This window comes from Homo sapiens, chromosome 19, assembly GCF_000001405.40.
Source record: "Homo sapiens chromosome 19, GRCh38.p14 Primary Assembly".
NCBI classification, from domain to species: Eukaryota; Metazoa; Chordata; class Mammalia; order Primates; family Hominidae; genus Homo; species Homo sapiens.
This window is the reverse complement of record NC_000019.10, coordinates 24,172,261-24,194,333: the sequence shown is the minus strand read 5'-3', so window position 1 is coordinate 24,194,333 and position 22,073 is coordinate 24,172,261. Positions and strand designations below refer to the sequence as shown.

The 22,073-nt window shown below is 44.3% G+C and overlaps 1 long non-coding RNA gene across 1 annotated transcript; it reads right to left on the bottom strand.

Annotated features, from left to right (window-relative positions):
• Nucleotides 1-15,322: 15,322 nt before the first annotated feature.
• On the bottom strand, nucleotides 15,323-16,897 carry LOC124904678 (uncharacterized). The gene is made up of 2 exons (XR_007067210.1): nucleotides 16,656-16,897; nucleotides 15,323-16,000 (listed from the first exon to the last, which is right to left on the bottom strand). It is a non-coding gene; the product is annotated as an uncharacterized LOC124904678 (long non-coding RNA).
• Between the last annotated feature and the right edge of the window lie 5,176 nt (nucleotides 16,898-22,073).

The following is a 22,073-nucleotide window of genomic DNA, read 5'->3' as shown; positions in this document are numbered from 1 at the left end:
CTGGAGGACAGTGAGAGAAAAACCTTCTGTCTTTTTTGAATGTTTGAGATGGGGTCATCAGCATGCCTAGATTCTTTTATGAGGGTGCCTGAGCAAGTTATGAAATTGGCAAATCTTGCCTTGTGATAGGCACTTGAGGTTCTGTTTCCAGTTTTTTCCTATCTGTGGATAAGGACTATTTCAAAACTAGGAATAAACAGAGAATTGAAGTCATGCATGCTACCAGCTCAATTTTAACTGACTTATCTTCTGTATTTACTACTAGTATTATTATTATCATTGTTATTTTTCTCATGACATTGGGAGAGTTTCAACAAAACAATATTGGAAAGCAATCTGGATTAGTAGACCAGCATTCTGGCTCCTTTCTTTTCTCATCTCTTCAATATCACTTTCAGCAAGCTTGCATTGGGAACCATTTTTTGACACCTACACCTGGTACCAGGCTCTAGAACTACAAAGATAGATGTAATATGGTTCTGGTTCTAAAATTCACCAGTGCCTCACAACCAGCAAGAACACGTGGAGAACTGGCAAGTGAGAAGTTGCAGTGGAAAGAAAAGGTGATACCCTCAAATGTGCAGGTTTTCCATGTGTAGAAGAAGAACGTGGGAAAGAAGAAATGTAAATTTGGGCAAAAAAGCAGTTTAAGTACAGGACTTGAAGTATTAAAATATGAGGCTTATTTGAGCACAGGGTAGGACAAGAAGTAGAGTGTGACAAGAGAATATAGTTTAGCGGGGTGGTGTAGCGTTGATATGATAACAGGAGTTCGCCTTAGGAAAATGGATGTTGGCTCAGCTGTGTAGGCTGTTATGAGCCATCAAACGTTTTGGAGCTGGGCTGTAATGTGAGCAGCTCTGTGTTTTGGAGAGAACACTGCTAAGCTTTTAGAAAGTTTAAGCTGGAAAAAAGACAATGAGTTCAGCTAGGTGATGTGACTCTCCTCTTTTTCATTACCAAAATCCACAGGGGCATTGTGACATACAGGTAGGCCTTGCCCCCAGGTGATATGAGTCTCCTGTTCTGCCTTGGTGATGTTTGTAGGAAGCATTGTGACACATTGCTGGACTCAACACAAAGGTGATGTCACTTTTAGCCTTAGTCCTGCCTTCTAAAGGCACTATTAAAAATTGCTTGGACTATTACCAAGGTGATTTGAGTTTCTTGCTTGGACCCTCCCCACAGTAGGCATTGTGACATATCACCTAGAAAATGTGACTCCTCATCTCTGCCTGCACCCTGACAACAGAAAGAATTGTGACATATCATTTGATCCAGAAACCAGATAATGTGTTTCTTTTGCCTGGACCTTTGTCAGAAAAAGCATCGTTACATATCTCTGGGTCTCTTAGCTAGGTGATGTGACTCACTCTCCTGCCTGGGGCCTTCACTCAGAGGGTATTGTGATATATTGTTGGACCAAGCATTTAGGTGATGCAACTTTCTCAACATCTTGGACTCTGTCCAATAAGGAATTTTTATGTGTTGATGTGCCCTGCACCTTGGTGATGTGACTCTCCTCTCCTGCCTGGGCCCTGCATACATTGTGTGTTGTGACATATTGCATGTTGTCACGCCTAGGTGATAACTACTATCTCACATAAGCCCTGCTCACAAAGGCATTTTAATATATTTTTTATGTCTATTACCTATGTGATGTGTCTCTCCTCTTCTGCCTGGGTCTTACAAAAAATGAGGGGTTGTGACATACTACTGGACACAGATTCTAGGTAACATGACACTCCTCTTTTGCCTGGCCCCTGGATATTTAAGGCTTTATGACATATTTTTGCACTAAACATCTAGAAAATAAAAGGTTCCTGCCTGGGTCCTGCCCATAGGAGACCTGTGACATATCTCTACATCTATCACTTAGGAAATGTGACTCTCCTCTTCTGCTGGCACCTTGTGCACAGGGAAGATGGGGATATATTACTGAGCCCAGTGAGCATGTGATGAAACTCTCCTCTCCTGCCTGGCCCCCACGTATATTGTGCATTGTAAAATATGGCTGGGTCCAACACCTAGGTGATATGACTCTCCTGCATAGGTCCTACCCACAAGGTTATTAAGATGTGTCTTTTTCTTCATCACCTAGGTATTTCAAATTTCCTCTTCTGCCTGGGCCATGCCAAAAGCACTGTGACACATTACTGGAGCCAGCACTAGGTAATGTGCCTTTGCTGACTCAGCCTAGCCACAGAGACATTATGACATATCGTTAGGCCCGGCAACAAGGTGAAGGGACTCTGATGCCTTAGTCCTGCTTTCAGGATGGGATTATAACATATCATAACTAAAAACACAGGTGCTGTGACTCTGTTGCCTGTTGCCTACTCTCATGAAAAATTATGACATAACCCTAGCCCAGCAACAACATGGTGTGACTCTCTTTCCTGGTCACTGCCCTCAGAGAAGGTTGTAAATATCTCTGACACAGCACCCAGATGGTGTGATTCTCCTGCTCACTCCCTCCTTACCCAGTTGTGGGGTTGTCACATATATCTTAATTCAGTTTACAGGTGTCATAATTACTCTCATAACTTGAGTCAGCCAATATGAGAATACTGTCTGTCTTAGGAAAACGTGTCAAATCCTAGGTCTCATTTTTCTATGAAAGTCATAGAGAAATACCACTGTCTCACATTTCATAGAAAGTCCTTGGGTGGTACAGAGAGTGTCAACACAGGGCTCAAGACATAGGAGAGGTTGTATTTCTCATCATTTTCTCACTTAAACAAAGCCCATTATTGAGGTCCTGAATCTTACATGCAGACACAGTCCACAGTTGAGATTGTGACTATCATATGTAAACATGTAAGCACAGTTGGGATGATGACTCATTTTAATCTCAGCTCATAGGAAGGTGAAGATTCTTCATTCTGGACTCGGCTAATTGGAGAGATGTTGATTCTCATGCTTGGACTTAAGGCCACAGGTACAATCATGATCCATACCAGCATAAATGTCTCAGAGAAGATTGAGAATCTCATGCATCAGGTATAAAGCCCTAGGGCGATACATAGGTGAGATTGTGACACTCACCAAGTCGACAGAAAAGATTGTCATCTTCCCACATGAACACAGCCCATTGTTAAGGCTCTGGATTTCACAACCCAAAGCTGTCAAACATTGGAAAATTGACTTTTATATGTGAATCTGGTCCACAAGGTTGGTGACTCTAAGACCAATATTCAGCTCACCTGTGAGGCTGTAACTTCACTCAGATAAAACAGCACACAGGAAGGATTGTGCCTCTCATGCACAGATACAGTTTATTGTTGAGATTAACTCAGGTACTTACATCTAAGATACATGAGGTGTTAACTCACATACTTAGAAACAGGACATGTGCTGGATTGTAAATATCATTTTATGACCTTCCTGCAGGTGTAAATGTGATATATGCCTCTGGCCAGCACCTGAGTGATTTGACCTATAGTCTGGGCCCAGCCCACGTACAGGATTGTGACTTATTGTTGGATCCAGCACCTAGGTTATGTGACTCTATTATCCTGCCTTGGCACTGCCTAAAGGGGACATTTTTGGGACTCACTTCCCTGCCTGGTTCCTGCTCACAGGGGGTATTGTTACCTATGACTAACGCAACACCTGGCTGACGTGACTCTTCTTCTTTGTATGTTCTTCCCTCAGGGGAGATTGTGAGATATTACTGGGCCCAAAAGCCCAGGTGATGTGTCTCTCCTTCATGTTCCTTGCTAACAGAGAACATTGTAATTTACTGCTGGCTCAGCATCAAGGTGAGGTGACTTTGCTGTCCGTGACCTGCTTTCAGGAGGGGATTGTAATATATCTCTAGCCCAGGTGAGATTGTGACACTCTTATGCACACAAAGCTCTTAGTAAAGATTTTCATTCTTGCATTTGTGAATTCAGTTTACTGCTGAGGTTCTGAATCTCACATTAGGAGGAAGTTATAAGTTGGATAATTGACTCATACTACGATGTAATTCACAGGTGGGTTGGTGTATTTCAGACTAAGATTCAACTCACCTATGAGGCTATTACTCCATGAATAAGATACGGTCCACAGAAGGGATTGAAGTTCTCATGAACAAATTCAGTCCACTGTTGATATTGTGAATTTTGTACTCAGACCCAACATAGAAGAGGTGTTTGCTCTCATACCCAAATAGGGACATGTGTAGGATTTTTAGTCTTATCCTTGAACCTACCTGCAGCTCTGATTGTGACATACACTTCTTCCAAGCACCTGAGTAAGGATGTCACAATAAAGACATATACCCTATGTGTTAGGTCCAGGAAGGTCACATGGAATTGTTACATACTTCTGCACCTAGCACCTAGGGTATATGTTTTTTATTCTTCTGTCTTGGCATTGCCCAAATTGCATCTTGTGACATATTTCTAGGTCTAAAACCCAGGTGATGTGAGTCTCCTGCCTAGATTCTGCCTACAGGGGGAATTGTGACATATTTCTGGACCCATCATCTATTTGATGTTACTCTCCTCTCTTACTTCATATTTGCCAACAGGTGACATTGTGACATATCTCTGGCCCCACCAACTAGATAATGTGACTCTCCTTTTCTTCCTGGGCTCTGGTCACAGAAGGGAGAGTAAATTATCCCTGGACACAGCCCAGAGGAGATGTGATTCTTCTGCCTGGTTCCTGCCCATGAGGACAAGAGATAAATACATTGTGATGTATCTCTGTGACCATCAACCAGATTATGTGACTCACCTTTATTTCTAGAGACCTGTCCACAGTGTGAGTTATGACATATCACTTGGCACATCATCTACATTATGTGACCCTCCTCTCATGCCTGGGCCCTGCTCACTGAGGTTGTTGTAACATATGGCTGGCCCCAGCCCCTAGGTTACTTTTCTCTTCTCTTCTTCCTGAGCCTTACCCACAGTAGGCCTTTTGACATATTCTTGGAACCCTCCTGAGGCGATGTGATTCTTCTGCCTGGGCCCTTTTTCAGGGTGTGTTATGCCATATTTTTGGGTCCAGCAACAAGGATTACCTCTACTGTTTGGGCTTTGCCCTAAAAGAGATTGCAATGTATTGCTGGGCACAACACCTAGGTGATGTGACTGTCCTCTCCTTTCTGGGCTCTGCACACATTCTGTATTGCAAAATATTCGGCACCTATGTGTGTGACTCTCCTTCCATGTTTGAGCTCTTGCCACTAGAGTGATTGGGACACATAGATCAGCCCACCTATTAGGTTATATAACTTCCCTCTTCATTTTGTTCTTTACCCACACAGAGATTGGGACATATTTCTAGACCTCTCACATAGATGATGTTACCCTTTTACCTGGGTCATCCTCTTAGGGGTCATTGCAAGATATTGCTGGACCTAAAGCCTAGGAGGTGTGACTCTCCTCTGCTACTTAGCCTTTGCTCAATAAAAAATTTTAATGTTTCCATGGGTCCAAGACCTAACTGATGTGACTATCATTTCTTGCCTAAGCCTGGAATACATTCTGTGTTATGACATATGGCTGGGTCCAACATCTAGATGTTATGACTCTCTTGAATGGGCCCTGCCAACAGAAGGCATTATGACATATCTGTGGCTGCATCAATTATGTGATGTGACTCTGCTGTTTTATGTGGACTTTGAAGAGATAGTGACATAGAAGAGATAGTGACATATTTCTGGGCCAAACAGCTAGGTGTTGTAACTCTCCTCTTCCCTGTGCCAGACCCACAGAAGGAATAATGAATTATCACTGGGCCCAGCACACAAGCAATGTCATTCTTTTGCCTGGTTGTTGCTCACAAGGGCCACTGTGACATATTTCTGGGCCCATGACCTATGTGATTTGATTCTCGTTTTCTGTCTTGGACCTGTCCACGGTAGAAATTGTGACATACTGCTTGCTGCAGTACCTACATAATATTACTCTCCACTCTTGCCTGAGCCCTGCCCACTGGTGAGACTGTGACAGATAAATGAGCACTGACCCTACATTATGTGATGCATCTCTTTTTTTCTAGCCCTACCCACCAGGGTCATTGCCCCATATTTCTTGTCACCTCACCAAGATGATGTGACACTTCTGCCTAGGCCTTTCTGGAAGTATTGTGAAAAATTGTTGTACCTGGCACCTAAGTAATGTGACTCTTCTCTACTTCTTGGGCTCTGCTCAAGGAGCCATTGCGATGTATACCTGGACGCAGCACCTAGGGGATGTTACTCTCTTCTCCTGCATGGGCCCAGCATTCATTGTGTATAGTAATATATGGCTGCACCCAACAAGTAGGTGATGTGACCCTTCTTCATGAGCCCTGAAGACAGGGGTATTAGATGATACTCTTTGTTCAGTACCTAGGAGATGTGACACATTTTTGTTGCCTGGGACCTGCCAGAGAAGACTGTGACACATCACTTGACCCAGCATCAAGGTGAGGTGAGTCTCTCTCTCTCTTTTTTTTTTTTTTTTTGCCTGGTCCCCACATGTTTTGAGTATCATGACATATCGCTGGGCCCAATACCTAGAAAATGGAAGGCTCCTGCCTGGGGCCGTCCACAGTGGACCTGGTGACATATCTCTGATGTGGCTGTCTTCTTGTGCCTGCACACTGCCTACAGGAAAGACTGTGACATATTGCTGGCCTAAGCAAACAGATGATGAGTCTCTTGTAATTGGGCCTTGCCCACAGAAAGAATTTTGACACAAAGCTGGGCCCATTAAAGAGGTGATGTGACTCTGCAGCCTGCACCCTGCTTTCAGGAGGGGATTGTAACATATTCCTGGCTGAATACCCAGGTGATGTGACTCTTCTGCCTGGTCCCTTGTGTCAGGGAATATTGTGATATATTCCTGGCCCAGAACACAGGTGATGTGACCCTCATGTTTGCTTCCTACCTACAGGTAAGACTGTGACATATATCTTGGTCCAGCCAGCAGTTGGAATGGCGACTCTCATACCACACACCAGCCAATAGAAAAGTTACTGTCTGTTTTAGCTGGGATTAGAGAAATGGGCAAGATCCCATGTCTCTTCTTTGTATGAAGGTATAGAAAATTGCCACTTTCTCACACACTATATAAAGCCCTAGTGTGGAACAAAATGCCATCACAGACCCCAGCATCCAAATGAGTTTGTGTTTCTCAGCCTACTATCCATCAGGATTTTCACCCTTCCACGTGGACAGAGCCTGCAGGTGAGATCCTGAATCTCACAGGTTGACATAGTCCACAGCTGGAATTGTTTCTGTCATATGCTACAGTTGATGGTAACTCATTTCTAAACCTAGTTCATTGGTAGGTAAGGAAACTTTTATTTGGACCCACCCAATTGGAGAGAAGTTGACTCTCAAAGAGGTTTGGTAAAAATTATAACCATGGCTCCCACCAGCAGGGAGGCCTCTGATCATATTGAGACTCTCATGCATAAAGACCTCAGGTGCTACAAAGAGTTTCCTGACAAGGCACAGCCCAGGTGAGATTTTAACACTTGTATGCACATCCAGTTGACAATAAAGATTGTCATACTGCCACATGAACACGGCCAACTTTTGAGGTTCTGAATGTCACATTTGGAGATAATCGAAACTTGAAAAAGTTGTTCTTACAAGTAGATCCAGTCCACAAGTGGGTTGCTGACTCTCAGACCAAGATTCAGCACACCTGTGAGGCTGCGACTCTACTAAGGAGGCATAGTGCACAGAAGAAAGTGAGCTTCTCATGCAAAGACCTAGTCCATTAAGATTGTGACTTGGCCAGGTGTGGTGGCTCATGCCTGTAATCCTAACACTTTGGGAGGCTGAGGCGGGTAGATCACCTGAGGTCAGGAGTTTGAGACCAGCATGACCAATATGGCAAAACCCCCTCTCTACTAAAAATACAAAGATTAACCTGGTGTGGTGGCGTGCACCTGTAGTCCCAGCTACTCAGGAGGCTGATACAGGAGAATCGCATGAACCTGGGAGGTGGAGGTTGCCGAAAGCTGAGATCATGCCACTGCACTCCAGCCTGGGCAACAGAGAGACATCCCATCTCAAAAAAAAAAAAAAAAGAAAAGAAAAAAAAAAGAGATTGTGACTCATGTACTTAGACCCAACATAGAGATGTTGACTCCCATACTTAGAAATGGGTCATGCGCAAGAATTTTAATCTTATCCCTGTATCGTTCTGCATGTGAGATTGTGTGACGTACACCTCTGTCCAGCAACTAAGTGCTTTGACCCTTCTGCCTGTGCCCATCACACAGATGGAATTTTGACATATTGCTAAACCCAGTACCTTCATGATGAGACTCTAGTCCACTGCCTTGGCACTGCCCACAGACAGCATTTTGACATATCACTGTCACTAGGCCTTATATTCAGTTAATGTGAGTCTACCCTTCTCTTTTGTCACTGTGCACAGAAGGCATTGTGACATATCACTGGGCCCCACACCCAGGTTATGTGATTCTCCTGCCTGTACACTGCCCAAATGGCCCATTGTGATATATTACTGTGTCCAAAACCCAGGTGATGTAACTCTCCTGCCTGATCCCTGCCTACAGGAGGCACTGTGACATCTCTGCACCCATTACCCACATGATATGACTCACTTCTGCCTGATCTCTGCTCATGGGAAATATTGTGACTCAACATTGGGCCCAGCATTGAGTTGATGTGACTCTTCTATTCGTTTTAGGTTCTGTCTGCAGGAGAGGTTGTGACATGTCTCTGGACCCAACAGTAAGGTGATGTTACACTGTTGCCTTGGTCCTTACTTCAGAAAGCTTTGTGATATTTTGCTGGGCTCAGCACTAAGATGATGTGAGTCTCTTGTCTGGACCCTGCCCACAGGGAGCATTGTGACATATCTCTAAGTTAATGAACTACTTGATGTGACTCTTCTCACTTACTTGGGCTTTGCCATTAGAAGAGATTGTGACATGTCTCTGATACCAGCACCTAGGTGTTGTGACTCTCCTTGTTTGCCTGTGTTATGCCCACAGAAGTTAGAGTGAATTATCACTAGGCCCTACACACAGGTGATGTGATTCTACTGCCTGCTCATTGCCCACAGGGGTCACTGCAACATATCTCTGGCACCACTATCTAGATTGTGACATATTCTTTCACCCAACATTTATGTGATGTGATTCTCCTCTCATGCCCGGACTCTTACACCCGTTTTAATTTTGACATAGAGCTGGTCTCATCTGTCTAGGTTACGTGACAGGTTGTGTGACTCTCTTCTTTTTTCCTAAGCCCTACCTACAAGGAGCATTGGTACATAGCTCTGGGCCCTTCGCCAAAAATAATGAATTCTTATTCTTTGGCCCTTTCCTCAGTGAGTATTGTGACATATTGATGGACTCAGCACCTAGGTGAGGTAACTCTCTTCTATTTTGTGGGCTCTGACCAAGGAGGTATTGTGATGTATCACTTAGCCCAGCACATAGGTAAATGTTATTCTTTTCTCCTGCCTGAGCTCAGCATAAATTGTGTATTGTGACATGTGGCCTATCTTAACAACTATGAGATGCAACTTTTCTGCATGATCCCTGCCCACAGGGGTATTATACCATATTTTTTAACATATAACTTGGCCCAGCACCTATGTGATGTGACTCCTTTCTCCCAGGCCCCAAATATTTGGTGTATTGCAAAATAATGCAGGGTCCAACACCTAGAAAATAAGAGGCTCCTGCCTAGACCCTCCCCATAGGGGGCCTTGTGACATATATCTGCATACACTACCTAGGAAATGTGACTTCTTTTCTGCCTGGACCCTCCTAACAGAAAAGATTATGACATATCACTGGACCCCACAACAAGGTGATGAGGCCCTTTTGACTGGGTCTTGAATACATAGATCATTGTGACATATTACTGAGCCCTTAGAGAAGATTGCCACATACAACTGGCCCCAAATCCAGGTAATGTTACTCTCCTGCTTACTCCTAATCCATAGGAGGGATTGTGACATATATCTTGGCCCAGCTTACAGGTGTGATGATCATTCTCATACCTTGAACTAGCCAATAAGAAAGATAATGTCTGTAATAGCTAGGCTTAGGGAAAAAGGTAAGATCCTGGGTGTCTTCTTTGTATAAAGGTCACAGAGGTTTACCTCTCTCTTGCATATTGTATAAAGCCCTCAAGTGGTACAGAGAGTATCATCACAGGTCCAAGGACACAGGAACTATTGTATTTCTGGTATGCACACCCTGCCAATCCTTAAGATAGTCATCCTCACCCATGGACGCAACCCACTGGTGAGATCCTGAATCTCACATGAAGACACAGTCTATAGATGGAATTGTGTCAGTCATATGTGAACATCTGGCCACATATGGGATAGTGACCCCTTTCTAAACCCAGCTTATAGGCAGATGAGTCCTTTTCTATTTAGACCCAGCCAACTGGGGAGGTGTTAACTCTCACACCTGAGCTTAGAGTGACACGTACAATCATGTGTTCATATCGGCATAAAGGTCTTAATGCAGTTTGCAACTCTCTTGCATATCATATTGTATTAGTTCATTTTCACACTGCTATAAAGAACTCCTCAAGACCAGGTAATTTATGTAGAAAAGAGGTTTAATTAGCTCACAGTTCCACATGGCTGGGGAGGCCTCAGGAAACTTGCTATCATGGCAGAAGGGGAAGCAGAGACCTTCTTCACAAGGTGGCAGGAGAGAGAAAGTGAATGAAGGAGGAACTTCCAACACTTATAAAACCATCAGATCTCCTGAGAACTCACTCACTATCATGAAAACAGCATGGGGGAAACTGCCCCATGATATAATTACCTTCCTCCCCTGACACGTGGAGATTACAATTGTAGATGAGATTTGGGTGAGGACATAGAGCCAAACTATGTATCTCATAAATTCTTTGGGTGGTACAGATAGGTACTAACAGAGCCCAGCTCAAAGGTGAGATTGTAACACTAGTAAGCAGACAGTCAAGAGTAAAGATTGTTGTCCTCTCACATGAATGTGGCCCACTGTTGAGGATTTAAATCTTATATCTAGAGGCAGTCAAGAGTTGCAATGTTGACTCTCATACATGGATTTGTTATGCATGGATTTGGTGACCCTCAAACCAAAATTTAGCACACATGGCTGGTTATGACTTATCTAAGGGGCATAATGCCCAAAAAACATTGAGAAGCTGCTGCACAGATCCAGTTCACAGTTGAGATTTTGACTCATGTACTTCACCAAACATACAAGACATGTTGACTCTCAGACCTAGAAACAGGACATGTGAGGGATTGGTAATCTCATCCCTGAATTTTTTTGAAGGTGTGATTTTGACATATGCCCCTGTCAAATACCTGATTTGACTCTCCTGCCTGGGCTCACTTCACAAATAGAATCATGATATATTGCTGGACCCAGCACCTAGATGAGATGACTCTATTCTCAAGCCTTGGTGCTTCTTACAAAAGGCATAGTGACATATCGCTGGGACTTGCACTCAGGTGACGTAAGTTTTCTCTCCTACCTTGGTGCTGCCCACAAGGGGCATTGTGAAATATTGCTCATTTTAACACCCAGGTGATGTGACTTTTCTGCCTGGGCCCAGCCTAAAGTGGGGATTGTGGCATCTCTCTGCACTCCTCACCCAGGTAATGTACTCTCATCTCTTGCCTGGTTTCTGCTCACAGGAGGGATGGTGACATATCCCTGAGCTCAACACCTAGCTAATGTGACACTTCTCTTCTTCCTAGGTTCTGCCCACAGGGGAGACTGTTACATATATACTGGACCCAGCTCCAAGATGTTACTTATTTGCCTTGACCCTGCCTTCAGAAGGCATTGTGACCTATAGCGGGGCCCAGGACCAAGGTGATGTGACATTCTTGCCTTGACTCTGTCAAGAGAGAGCATTGTGACATATCTCTGGGTCCATAAAATATTTTATGTGTCTTTCTTTTCTTACCACGGTTTTGCTTATAGAAGAGATTGTTACATATCTCTGTGCCCAGCATCTAAATGATATGACTCTCCTCTCCTACCTGGGCCATGCCCACAGATGAAAAAGTGACTTATCCCTGGGCCCAGCACACAGGGAATCTTATTTATTTCTCCTAGTCTCTTTCTACAGGGGACATTGCGAAGTATCTCTTAGCCCATCAATTAATTGATGCAAATCTCTTCTCTTACCTGGGATTTGCCCAAAGGGGATGTTGTAACATATCTCATGGTCCAGCAAGTAGGAGATGACACTCTCCTCTGATTGTTACATATTGCTTTGCTCAGCACCTACTTTATGTGACCCTCCTCTCATGCATCGTCCCTGCCCCTTGGGGTGATTGTGACATATAGCTGGCTGTAGCTCCTAGGTTATGTAACTTTCCTCTTCTTCCTGAGCCTTACCCACAGAAGGCATTGTGCCATACCTCTAGGGCTCTTACCTAGGTGATGTGGCTCTCCTGCTTTGGTCTTCATCTCAGAAAGTATTGTGATGTATTGCTGGACCTAGAACTTAGGTGATGTTTGGGCTCTGACCAAGAAGAGATTGCAATGTATCACTGGGCCAAGCACTCTTCTCTCTCCTAGGCACTACATACATTGTGTATGGAGACATATGGCTTGATCCCAAACCAAAATAATGCAACTGTTTTGCATTGGCAACGTCCACAGGTGTATTACCACATATCTTTTCCTTTAGCTCTGAAATTGAGCTCTGAAATAATCTGGATCTGTGTGCTCATCTCTCCTATTGAATTTAAACTTTAATCCAAAAGCCATGAAAATAGTCATAATTACTAAACACCACAAAGTGATGGCTTTTTTCATCTTCTTCTCCTTTTCTCTTCCTCCTTTCCATCTCCTCCTTTCCTCTTCCTCTTCTGCTCCTCCTCTCATCCTTGTCCTCTCCTCCTCCTCTCTTACTCCTCTCCCCTCCCCCTTTTTCTCCTCTGTCTCCTCCTCTTCCTCCTCTCCTCATTTTCTCCTCTTTCTCTCTTCATCCTCCTCTCCTTTTCTTCCTCTCATCTTTCTCTCCTCCTCCTCCTCTCCTCTTCCTCCTCTACTCCTCCTCTCCTCCTCCTTCTCCTTTCCCCCTCTTCCTTTTCTTTTCCTCCTCCTCCTTCTCTCCTTCTCCTACTTGTCTTCTTCTCCTCCTTCTCCCCTCCTCCTTCTCCCATCCTCCTTCTCCTCTCCTCCTCCTCCTCCACAGTTCCTCCCCCTTCTCCTCTTCTCCTCCTCTCCTCTTCTCCATTGCCTCTTCCTCCTCCTGTCATCCTCCTCCTTCTCCACTGGTTCTCCTCTATTTCTCCTCCTCCTCTCATTTTATCCTTTATCTCCTGCTCCTCTGCTTCTCCTCTATTTCTCCTCCTCCTCTCATTTTATCCTTTATCTCCTGCTCCTCTGCTTCTCCTCCTACTCTTTTTCTCCTCTCCCTCCTTCTACTTTATTTCTCCTTCATCTCCTCTCCTTGTCCTTCTCCTCTCCTGCTCTCATCCTCCTCCTCCTTCTCCTCTTCCCCTCCTCCTTTTTCTCATCTCCTACTCTGTTCCTCCTTCTCATCTCCTGCTCTTGTCTTTCTCCTCCTTCTCTTCTCCTCCTCCTTTTTCTCATCTCCTACTCTGTTCCTCCCCATCTCCTCCTCTTTTCCTCCTGATTCTGCTCCTCTCCTTTTCCCCCTAAACCTTTCCTCCTACTACCAATCTTTTACTTTGCCTCCTCTCCTACTCCTTCTCTGACTCCTCTCCTCCTCAACTCCTCCTTCTTCTCCTCTCCTCCTCTTCTTTCTTTCCTTTTCTTCCTCCTCATCTCCTCCTCCTTCTCCTCTTCCTCCTCTCCTTTTCTCCTCCTACTCTTCCTTCTCCTCTCCTCTTCCTCCTTCCTCCTCCTTCTCTTCCTCTCTTCATCTCCTCTTCCTCCTCCACTCCTTTTCCTCTCTTCCTCCTGCTCTCCTCCTTCTCCTTGTCTCCTCTTCCTCTTCCTCCTCCACTCCTCCTCCTTCTCCTCTCCTACTCTTTTTCCTCCTCCTCCTTCTCCTGTTCTCCTCCTACTCCTTTTTCTACTCTCCTTCTCCTTTTTCTCCTCTCCTAATCCCCCCATTCTCCTCCCCTTTTCTCCTTCTCTCCTCCTCCTCACCTCCTTCTACTTCTCCTCATTTTCTCTTCCTCTTTCTCCTCTCCTCGTCTACCTTCTCCTCCTCCTTTCCTTCTTTTTCCTCCTGCATCTCCTCTTCCTTTCCTTCTTTTCCTCCTCTCTGTCTCCTCTTCTCCTGTTCCTCCTCCTTCTCCTCTCATCCTCCCCTCCTTCTTCTTTTCCCTCCTCCTACTTCTCTCCTATTCTTCCTCCATTCCTTCTCTCCTCCTCCTTCTCTGCTCCTCCTCTCCTCCTTCTCCTCCTCTTCCTCCTTCTCTCCTCCTCCACCTTCTCCTCTTCTACTCCTCTTTTTTCCTCTCACCTTTCTTCTCCTCTTCCTCTCCTCCTTTTCTTCTCCTTCTCATCTCCTGCTCTTCCTCCTCTTCTCTTCTCCTCATCTTCTCCTTCTTTTCCTTTCCTCTTCTCCTCCATCTCTTTTCCTGCTTCTCCTTTTCCTCTCCTCCTCCTTCTCGTCTTCTTCTCCCCCTCCCCTCCTCCTCCCCTTTTCCTGTCTCTTCTTCTCCTTCTCTCCTTCTTCCCTCTTTACTTCCTCCTCTGCTCCTCCTCGTCCTGTCTTCCTCCTTTTCTCACTCTTCTCCTCCTTCTCTTCTCCTACCCTTCTCCTTTTTATCCTCCTCCTCTTCTCTGCTCCTCCTCTCCTCTTTCTTCTTTCCTCCTCTCCTCTTTCTTCTTTCCTCTTCCTCCTCCTCTCGTCCTTCTCATCTCTTCCTCTCCTCCTTCGCTTCCTTATTCATTTTCTCTTCATACTTCTCCCATCCTCCTGCTCCTCTTCCTCTCCTACTCCTCTTCCTCCTTCCCTCCTTTTTCTCTCCACCTCTCCTCTTAGTCCTCCTCTTTTCCTCCTCCTCATTATCTTTTCCTTCTCCTCTCGTTGTCCCAGCTTCCTTTTCCTCGTCTCTTCTCCTGGTCCCATTGTCCCCTTCTGATGTTTTTTTTTCTCCACTTCCTCTATTCTTACTATCTTTTTCTCATTTTCTCCTCCTCTCCTCTTGTTCTTCTCATTTTCTCCTCCCATTTTCTCTCCTCCTTTTCCTCTTCTCCTTTTCTTCTCCCCTTCTTTTTTCCTCTTCCTCTATCTCCACTCCTCCACTGCTACTCCTCCTCTTACAGAGCCACTGGTCATGCCAATCAGCATCCAGCACACATAGTGGCAGCTTCTGCAGCGCTGCACTAGCAAAACCTAATGTGTATCTATATTAGCTTGTGGAGGATAGGAATCGGGCCCAACCCCCGTGGCTGAGTTTATTTATATAGTTGTTTATTTATTTATTTTTTGATAAAGGGTCTTGCTCCGTCACCTAGGCTGAAGTGCAGTGGCACAAGATTATGACTCACTGTAGTCTCAAGAGATCCTCTCACCTCAGCCTCCCGAGTAGCTGGGAATACAGGCGTGGCCCATCACACCTGACTAAATGTTTTTTGTAGTGACGGCGTCTGACCACGTTGCCCAGGCTGATTTGAAATTTCTGGGCTCGAATGCTCCACCTGCCTTGGCCTCCCGGAATAGCGGGGTGAATTCATTTGCTACAGCACCACCAGGACTCAGAAGGTGCAAGCCTTGAATGCCAGAAACATCTTCCCAACGCTGCCCACCACTTTCTGCCCTCTGTCTCCCGGCATCCTTCCCCTGTGGAATGAGGAACTTTCCTTCTGTGGTCCTTCCAGGCCCTTTCTGGCAGGGAATCCTGGAAACTAGGGCTCCTGCTTTCCCCTGCAGCCGCAAAGCATTGGGGGTGCCAGCCGTGAGGTGGCCTCCTGGGGTGCTCTCGCCAAGGTATTTGGTGGAAGCCCCTGTCGCACCCTGCTCTGCGGATTTGATCTTCCTGGGCAGAGGACACTGGCGTCGAGGGGGCAGCGGGCATCCCCGCACCCTGGCCTTTTCCTGGCTGGCGGTTGTGTTGTGGCCGACTACCACCTAAGGCACACAGGAAAGAAGGGTGTCAGGGACTTGCCATGGGGGCGCCGATCGTTCCTCGCCCTTCCATTGGACAGGTGCGTGTTTTACAGGGATCCATCAGTGTGGAGTTCACCTTCCTTGTGCGAGTCGGGGGCTCGGTGCCAGGTGCCTCGTGAGTCCTGGAAAAAGGCGGAGGACCTTCTCCCGCTGAAAAAATTTGTAGCAGTTCCGGGGCTTCCCTTCCTCCTCCCACACCGGCCCTCATCCTACTGTGGTTTCCTCTGCCCCCAGCACCAGCCTCTGCCTGGGACCCCTCTCCCCATCCCACTCATGTCTGTTAGGAAACTGCGACCCTAATGTTTACTAAGGAGTAGGGGATGTCATTCCAGTTGCCGACGCCCTCCTTGCGAAGCGGCGCGTTTTCTGGGCCGAGGGCACATCGAGGATGTGACCCATTCCCTGGCCCAGAGTGAGGATGGGGCACAGCGGCCGATTCCACTGCCTGGCGGGACCACTTCCTTTCCAGGCAGGGCGGAGATATGCAGGGCGTGGGGACCCTGCTCGGTGCAGAACGTGCTGGCCATTGGGCCACTTTGCACGGGCCCCATGCCCTGGCCACTCTCCTCAGTGCTGAATCCATGAAAGATTATAACGAGGAGGAAAGAATTTTTACCTGCTCAGCGGATTTGTCCTCCCTCTCTCCTTACTGGTTAGGAGATCCAGGCCAGCAGTTCACACTCCGTTACAAAACTCTACAGAGCTTCCGAGCTAGCAGCAGCACACATTCGGGGAACATTGAAGGGATTGTCTTCTTCTTTTGTGGGTGGTTATGTTAGTGGTTGTGGAGAGAGAGAGAAGGGTGAATAAAAAATATAAAGATTTGGTTCCAAGTCTTTGCTATTGTGAATAGAGCTGCAATAAACATACATGTGCATGTGTCTTTATAGCAGCATGATTTATAATCCTTTGGGTATATATCCCGTAATGGAATGGCTGGGTCAAATGGTATTTCTAGTTCTAGACCCCTGAGGAATTGCCACACTGACTTCCACAATGGTTGAACTAGTTTACAGTCCCACCAACAGTGTAAAAGTGTTCCTATTTCTCCACATCCTCTCCAGCACCTGTTGTTTCCTGACTTTTTAATGATCGCCATTCTAACTAGTGTGAGATGGTATCTCATTATGGTTTCGATTTGCATTTCTCTAATGACCAGTGATGAGGAGCAGTTTTTCATGTGTTTTTTGGCTGCATAAATGTCTTCTTTTGAGAAGTGTCTGTTCACATCCTTTGCCCACTTTTTGATGGGGTTGTTCTTTTTTACTTGTAAATTTGTTTGAGTTCATTGTAGATTCTGGATATTAGCTCTTTATCAGATGAGTAGATTGCAAAAATTTTCTCCCATTCTGTAGGTTGCCTGTTCACTCTGATGGTAGTTTCTTTAGCTGTGCAGAAGCTCTTTAATTTAATTAGATCCCATTTCTCAATTTTGGCTTTTGTTGCCATTGCTTTTGGTGTTTTAGACATGAAGTCCTTGCCCATGCCTATGTCCTGAATGGTATTGCCTAGGTTTTCTTCTAGGGCTTTTATGGTTTTAGGTCTAACGTTTAAGTCTTTAATCCACCTTGAATTAATTTTTGTATAAGGTGTAAGGAAGGGATCAAGTTTCAGCTTTCTACATATGGCTAGCTTGTTTTCCTAGCATCATTTATTAAATAGGGAATCCTTTCCCCATTTCTTGTTTTTGTCAGGTTTGTCAAAGATCAGATGGTTGTGGATATGTGGCATTATTTCTGAGGTCTCTGTTCTGTTCCATTGGTCTATATCTCTGTTTTGATACCAGTACCATGCTGTTTTGGTTACTGTAGCCTTGTAGTATAGTTTGAAGTCAGGTAGCGTGATGACTCCAGCTTTGTTCTTTTGGCTTAGGATTGACTTGGCAATGCAGGTTCTTCCCAAATGTCCAACAATGATAGACTGGATTAAGAAAATGTGGCACATATACACCATGGAATACTATGCAGCCATAAAAAATTATGAGTTCATGTCCTTTGTAGGGACATGGATGAAGCTGGAAACCATCATTCTCAGCAAACTATTGCAAGGACAAAAAACCAAACACCACATATTCTCACTCATAGATGGGAATTGAACAGTGAGAACACTTGGACACAGGAAGGGGAACATCACACACCAGGGACTGTGGTGGAGAGGGGGGAAGGGGGAGGGATAGCATTAGGAGATATACCTAATGCTAAATGACGAGTTAATGAGTGCAGCACACCAACATGGCACATATATACATATGTAACAAACCTGCACACTGTGCAGTGTACCCTGAAACTTAAAGTATAATAATAATAAAATTAAAAAAATAAGCCACCTTTTCAAAAAAATATATAAAGATTTGTTACGTTTATATATAAATATATAAAGATTTGGAAAAACCTGTCTGGGATTTTCATTAATAAAAAATTTAAACTTCATTCTTGTTTAAGAGTTTAGATTTAAGCTTAGCCCTTTCAAAGTCAATGGAAACAAAATTTGCCTGTTAGGTAAGAATGCTGAAAATAGTGAGACATTTCTGTCTGAAGGAAACAAAATTATTTCTGCAAGGCAATATTGCCAGTCCATCCCCAAATATTTGAGGGTTTTCTCCTTTTTTAGATATGTAGTGGTCTCTGCACCTGTGCATAATGATTCTGAAGTATATTTAAGAGAAGTGGAAGGTGAGAAAAAGTGAATTGCAAAAAGTAGAATGTTATTTTGTTTTCATTTTTGTACATCCGTGAAAAGTATTCTGTAGATTTGATGCTTTTTCAAGTAGGCAGGTATAGTTTCTAAGCCATATTTTAATCAGGGAGTCTGTTAGAGACTAAAATCTTGGCTAAAACCTCTTTGGAAACACACACACAAAAAAACGCTTAGTTCTGTGCTACCTTCAAGAGACCACAGAACTTTTGCAGGAATGGGTATGAATTCCTTCAAAAAGAACTTGTGCTCCATTTCAGGTAAATGAAGCTGCACTGTCTTATCATTCTTAAAAATATTGCTGGCCGGGCACGGTGGCTCACGCCTGTAATCCCAGCACTTTGGGAGGCCGAGGCTGGCGGATCATGAGGTCAGGAGATCGAGACCATCCTGGCTAACACAGTGAAACCCCGTCTCTACTAAAAAACACACACGCAAAAAATTAGCCGGGCGTTGTGGCGGGCGCCTGTAGTCCCAGCTACTAGGGAGGCTGAGGCAGGAGAATGGCGTGAACCCAGGAGGCGGAGCTTGCAGTGAGCCCATCTAGCATCACTGTACTCCAGCCTGGGTGACAGAGAGAGACTCTGAAAAAAAAAAAAAATTGCTAAACTGGCTGCATATTAGGATATCTTGTTTTTAAAGGATTTGCTGGATGTGTGAGACTTTTAAGATATGCTACTGATGCTTATGGATATATGGAATATCATTCTCTGGGGTTTTGTACATGCCACTTTATTTCTCATCAGAAATTCAAACTCTAAGCCCTTAGCGTGGCAAACAAGTATTTGTTATGTGATGGTAAACATTCATCTCACTAAGCTGGTACAGGTGGTACATTCATACCTAACTTGTAACAAGTTAGGGGGTCCAGGTGATTGTTTGATGAATGGGTCTTTTGTTTTATGTTACTTCAGGCAGACTCCGGAGGTCTTATTAACATCTGACACAACTACAGCATGTTAAAGGAGAAAAAATAAACCTTACTTTATTATTCCTGCATTAGATCAATAGCTGTTTATTGGCTACCTGTTGTGTGCCAGGCACTGTACAACATAGGTGCCCTGGTAATAAATGGATGGTAATAAATGTAGTTGCCAGCCAGGCATGGTGGCTTGTGCCTGTAATCCCAGCATTTTGGGAGGCTGAGATGAGTGGATTACCTGAGGCCAGGAGTTTGAGACCAGCCTGGCCAACATGGTGAAACTCCATCTCTAGTAAAAATACAAAATTAACCGGGCATAGTGGTTCATGCCTGTAATCACAGCTACTGGGGAGGCTGAGGCAGGAGAATTGCTTGAACCTGGAAGTTGAAAATTGCAGTGAGCCAGGATCATGCCATTGCACTCAATAAATAAATGAATAAATGTAATTGCCCTACATCGGGGCCCCCAACACCCAGGGCACAGACAGATACCAGTCTGTGGCCTGTTATAAACCAGGCTGCACAACAGGAGATGAACAGTGAGTGAGCGAAGCTTCATCAGTATTCACAGCCACTCCCCATTGTTCATATTACAGATCAGTGGCAGCATTAGATTATCCTAGGAGTGCAGACCCTATTGTGAACTGCACATGTGAGGGATGTAGGTTGCACACTATTTATGAGAATCTAATGCCTAAGGATTTGTTACTGTCTCTCATCACCACCAGATGGGAACATCTAGTTGCAGGAGAACAATCCCAGGGCTCTCACTGATTCTACATTATGGTGAGTTGCATAATTATTTCATTATACATTACAATGTAATAATAGAAAGAAAGTGCACAACAAATGTAGTGTGCTTGAATTATTCCAAAAGAAAACCGTCCCACCACATATGTGAAAAACCTGTCTTCTGCAAAACCAGACCCTAGTGCCAAAAAGGTTGGGGACAACTGCCCTACATTATACAGTGCCTGCGTACTCCAGGTAGCCAAAAAAATTTCTTAGTGGGGTTAATTAGAGCTTTTAAAAGCTGTATTTGTCTTTCTCTAGCTGGCTTTGTACTTTCTCTTTTTTCCCTTTCCTCAGAGACAATGGGATAAGATTACATAAAATGTGTGATATTTCCGGTGGTTTAATTACTTAAAAATGTTCCTTATTTATTTTGATGTATCTTCTTGGACTAAGTTATTTTCACCCTGCTTTTTTGAAACCATTCAGCAAAGATTCCATGTTTATACTCAGAGTAACACTATTAGGGTTGGGTGGGTATGTTGACCTATTTGATAGCTGCTTTATGATATGCCCAGAGCTGGAAATAAATTAACCTCAGGATCCACAATGCATAACTACCCCTAGCTCCATGGAAAAACTGCTTTATAGAGTCAACTTGATCTAAAAAAAATGTAGCTTTAAATGTATACTGCTTATTTACCTCTGTGTGTGTGTTGTTATTTTTAATAAAGAAGATCTTTTTTTCAAAATTTTATTGAATTTGAAGGTATAAAGGAATTTAAAATGAAACTTTAGCCTTTGGTGGCATTGTCATTGCTGACTACGATGATAGGCATCTTTTCAGTAGATTTTCTACCTCATGGGATAGTTGTAAGGATAAAATACATGTTCCAGAAACTCAAAACCTACATATGTAATCAAGTGTTATATTTTGAGATTAGGAAGCTTCGTGGGCATCCACTGTGGATTTCCTTTCCGGAATTTTGAATGTCTTGTGTTGGGGAAGGATGCTACCGGCCTTTAGTGCACAGACATTAGAAATGCTGCTCCGCATATTACAATGCACAGAACAGCCACAGATGTCAGCAGAGCTGAAGTCAAGGAAGCCTGCTTGGAAGGTATAGTAGTGGCCTTTAAAACATCCACAAGCATACTGGGTGCATGACTTGTATTGCATGTGCTATTTTTAGAAATCTGAAATTCCATAAAGTAGGTAAGCTTTTATTTGCCTCTAAGATGCCATGGTTGGCAACGTGAAAGTTTTACAAGAAGCTTGGGATTGAGGAAAACATTAAGTGGTGTTCAATGTATTTGAAAACTCCATAGTAAATAAGAGCTCTAGAACTCATCAGCTTCTACAACAAATGAGATGCATTGGTTCTGTAAAGCTATTTTGGTAGATGGCTCAGTTTTCCCAATCACCTCCTCAGTTATTAAGGAAACTCGCTCTGATGCTGTCATCTGCCAGTCTCCCTCATGTTTTAAGTTATGTGGAGTATATCTTTTTAAAAAATTGTTTGACAGACAGGCATGGTGACTCATGCCTGTAATCCCTGCACTTTGGGAGACCAAGACAGGTAGAGCACCTGAGGTCAGGAGTTCAAGACCAGCCTGGCCAACATGATGAAACCTCGTCTTTACTAAAAATACAAAAAATTAGCTGGCCGTGGTGGCATGCGCCTG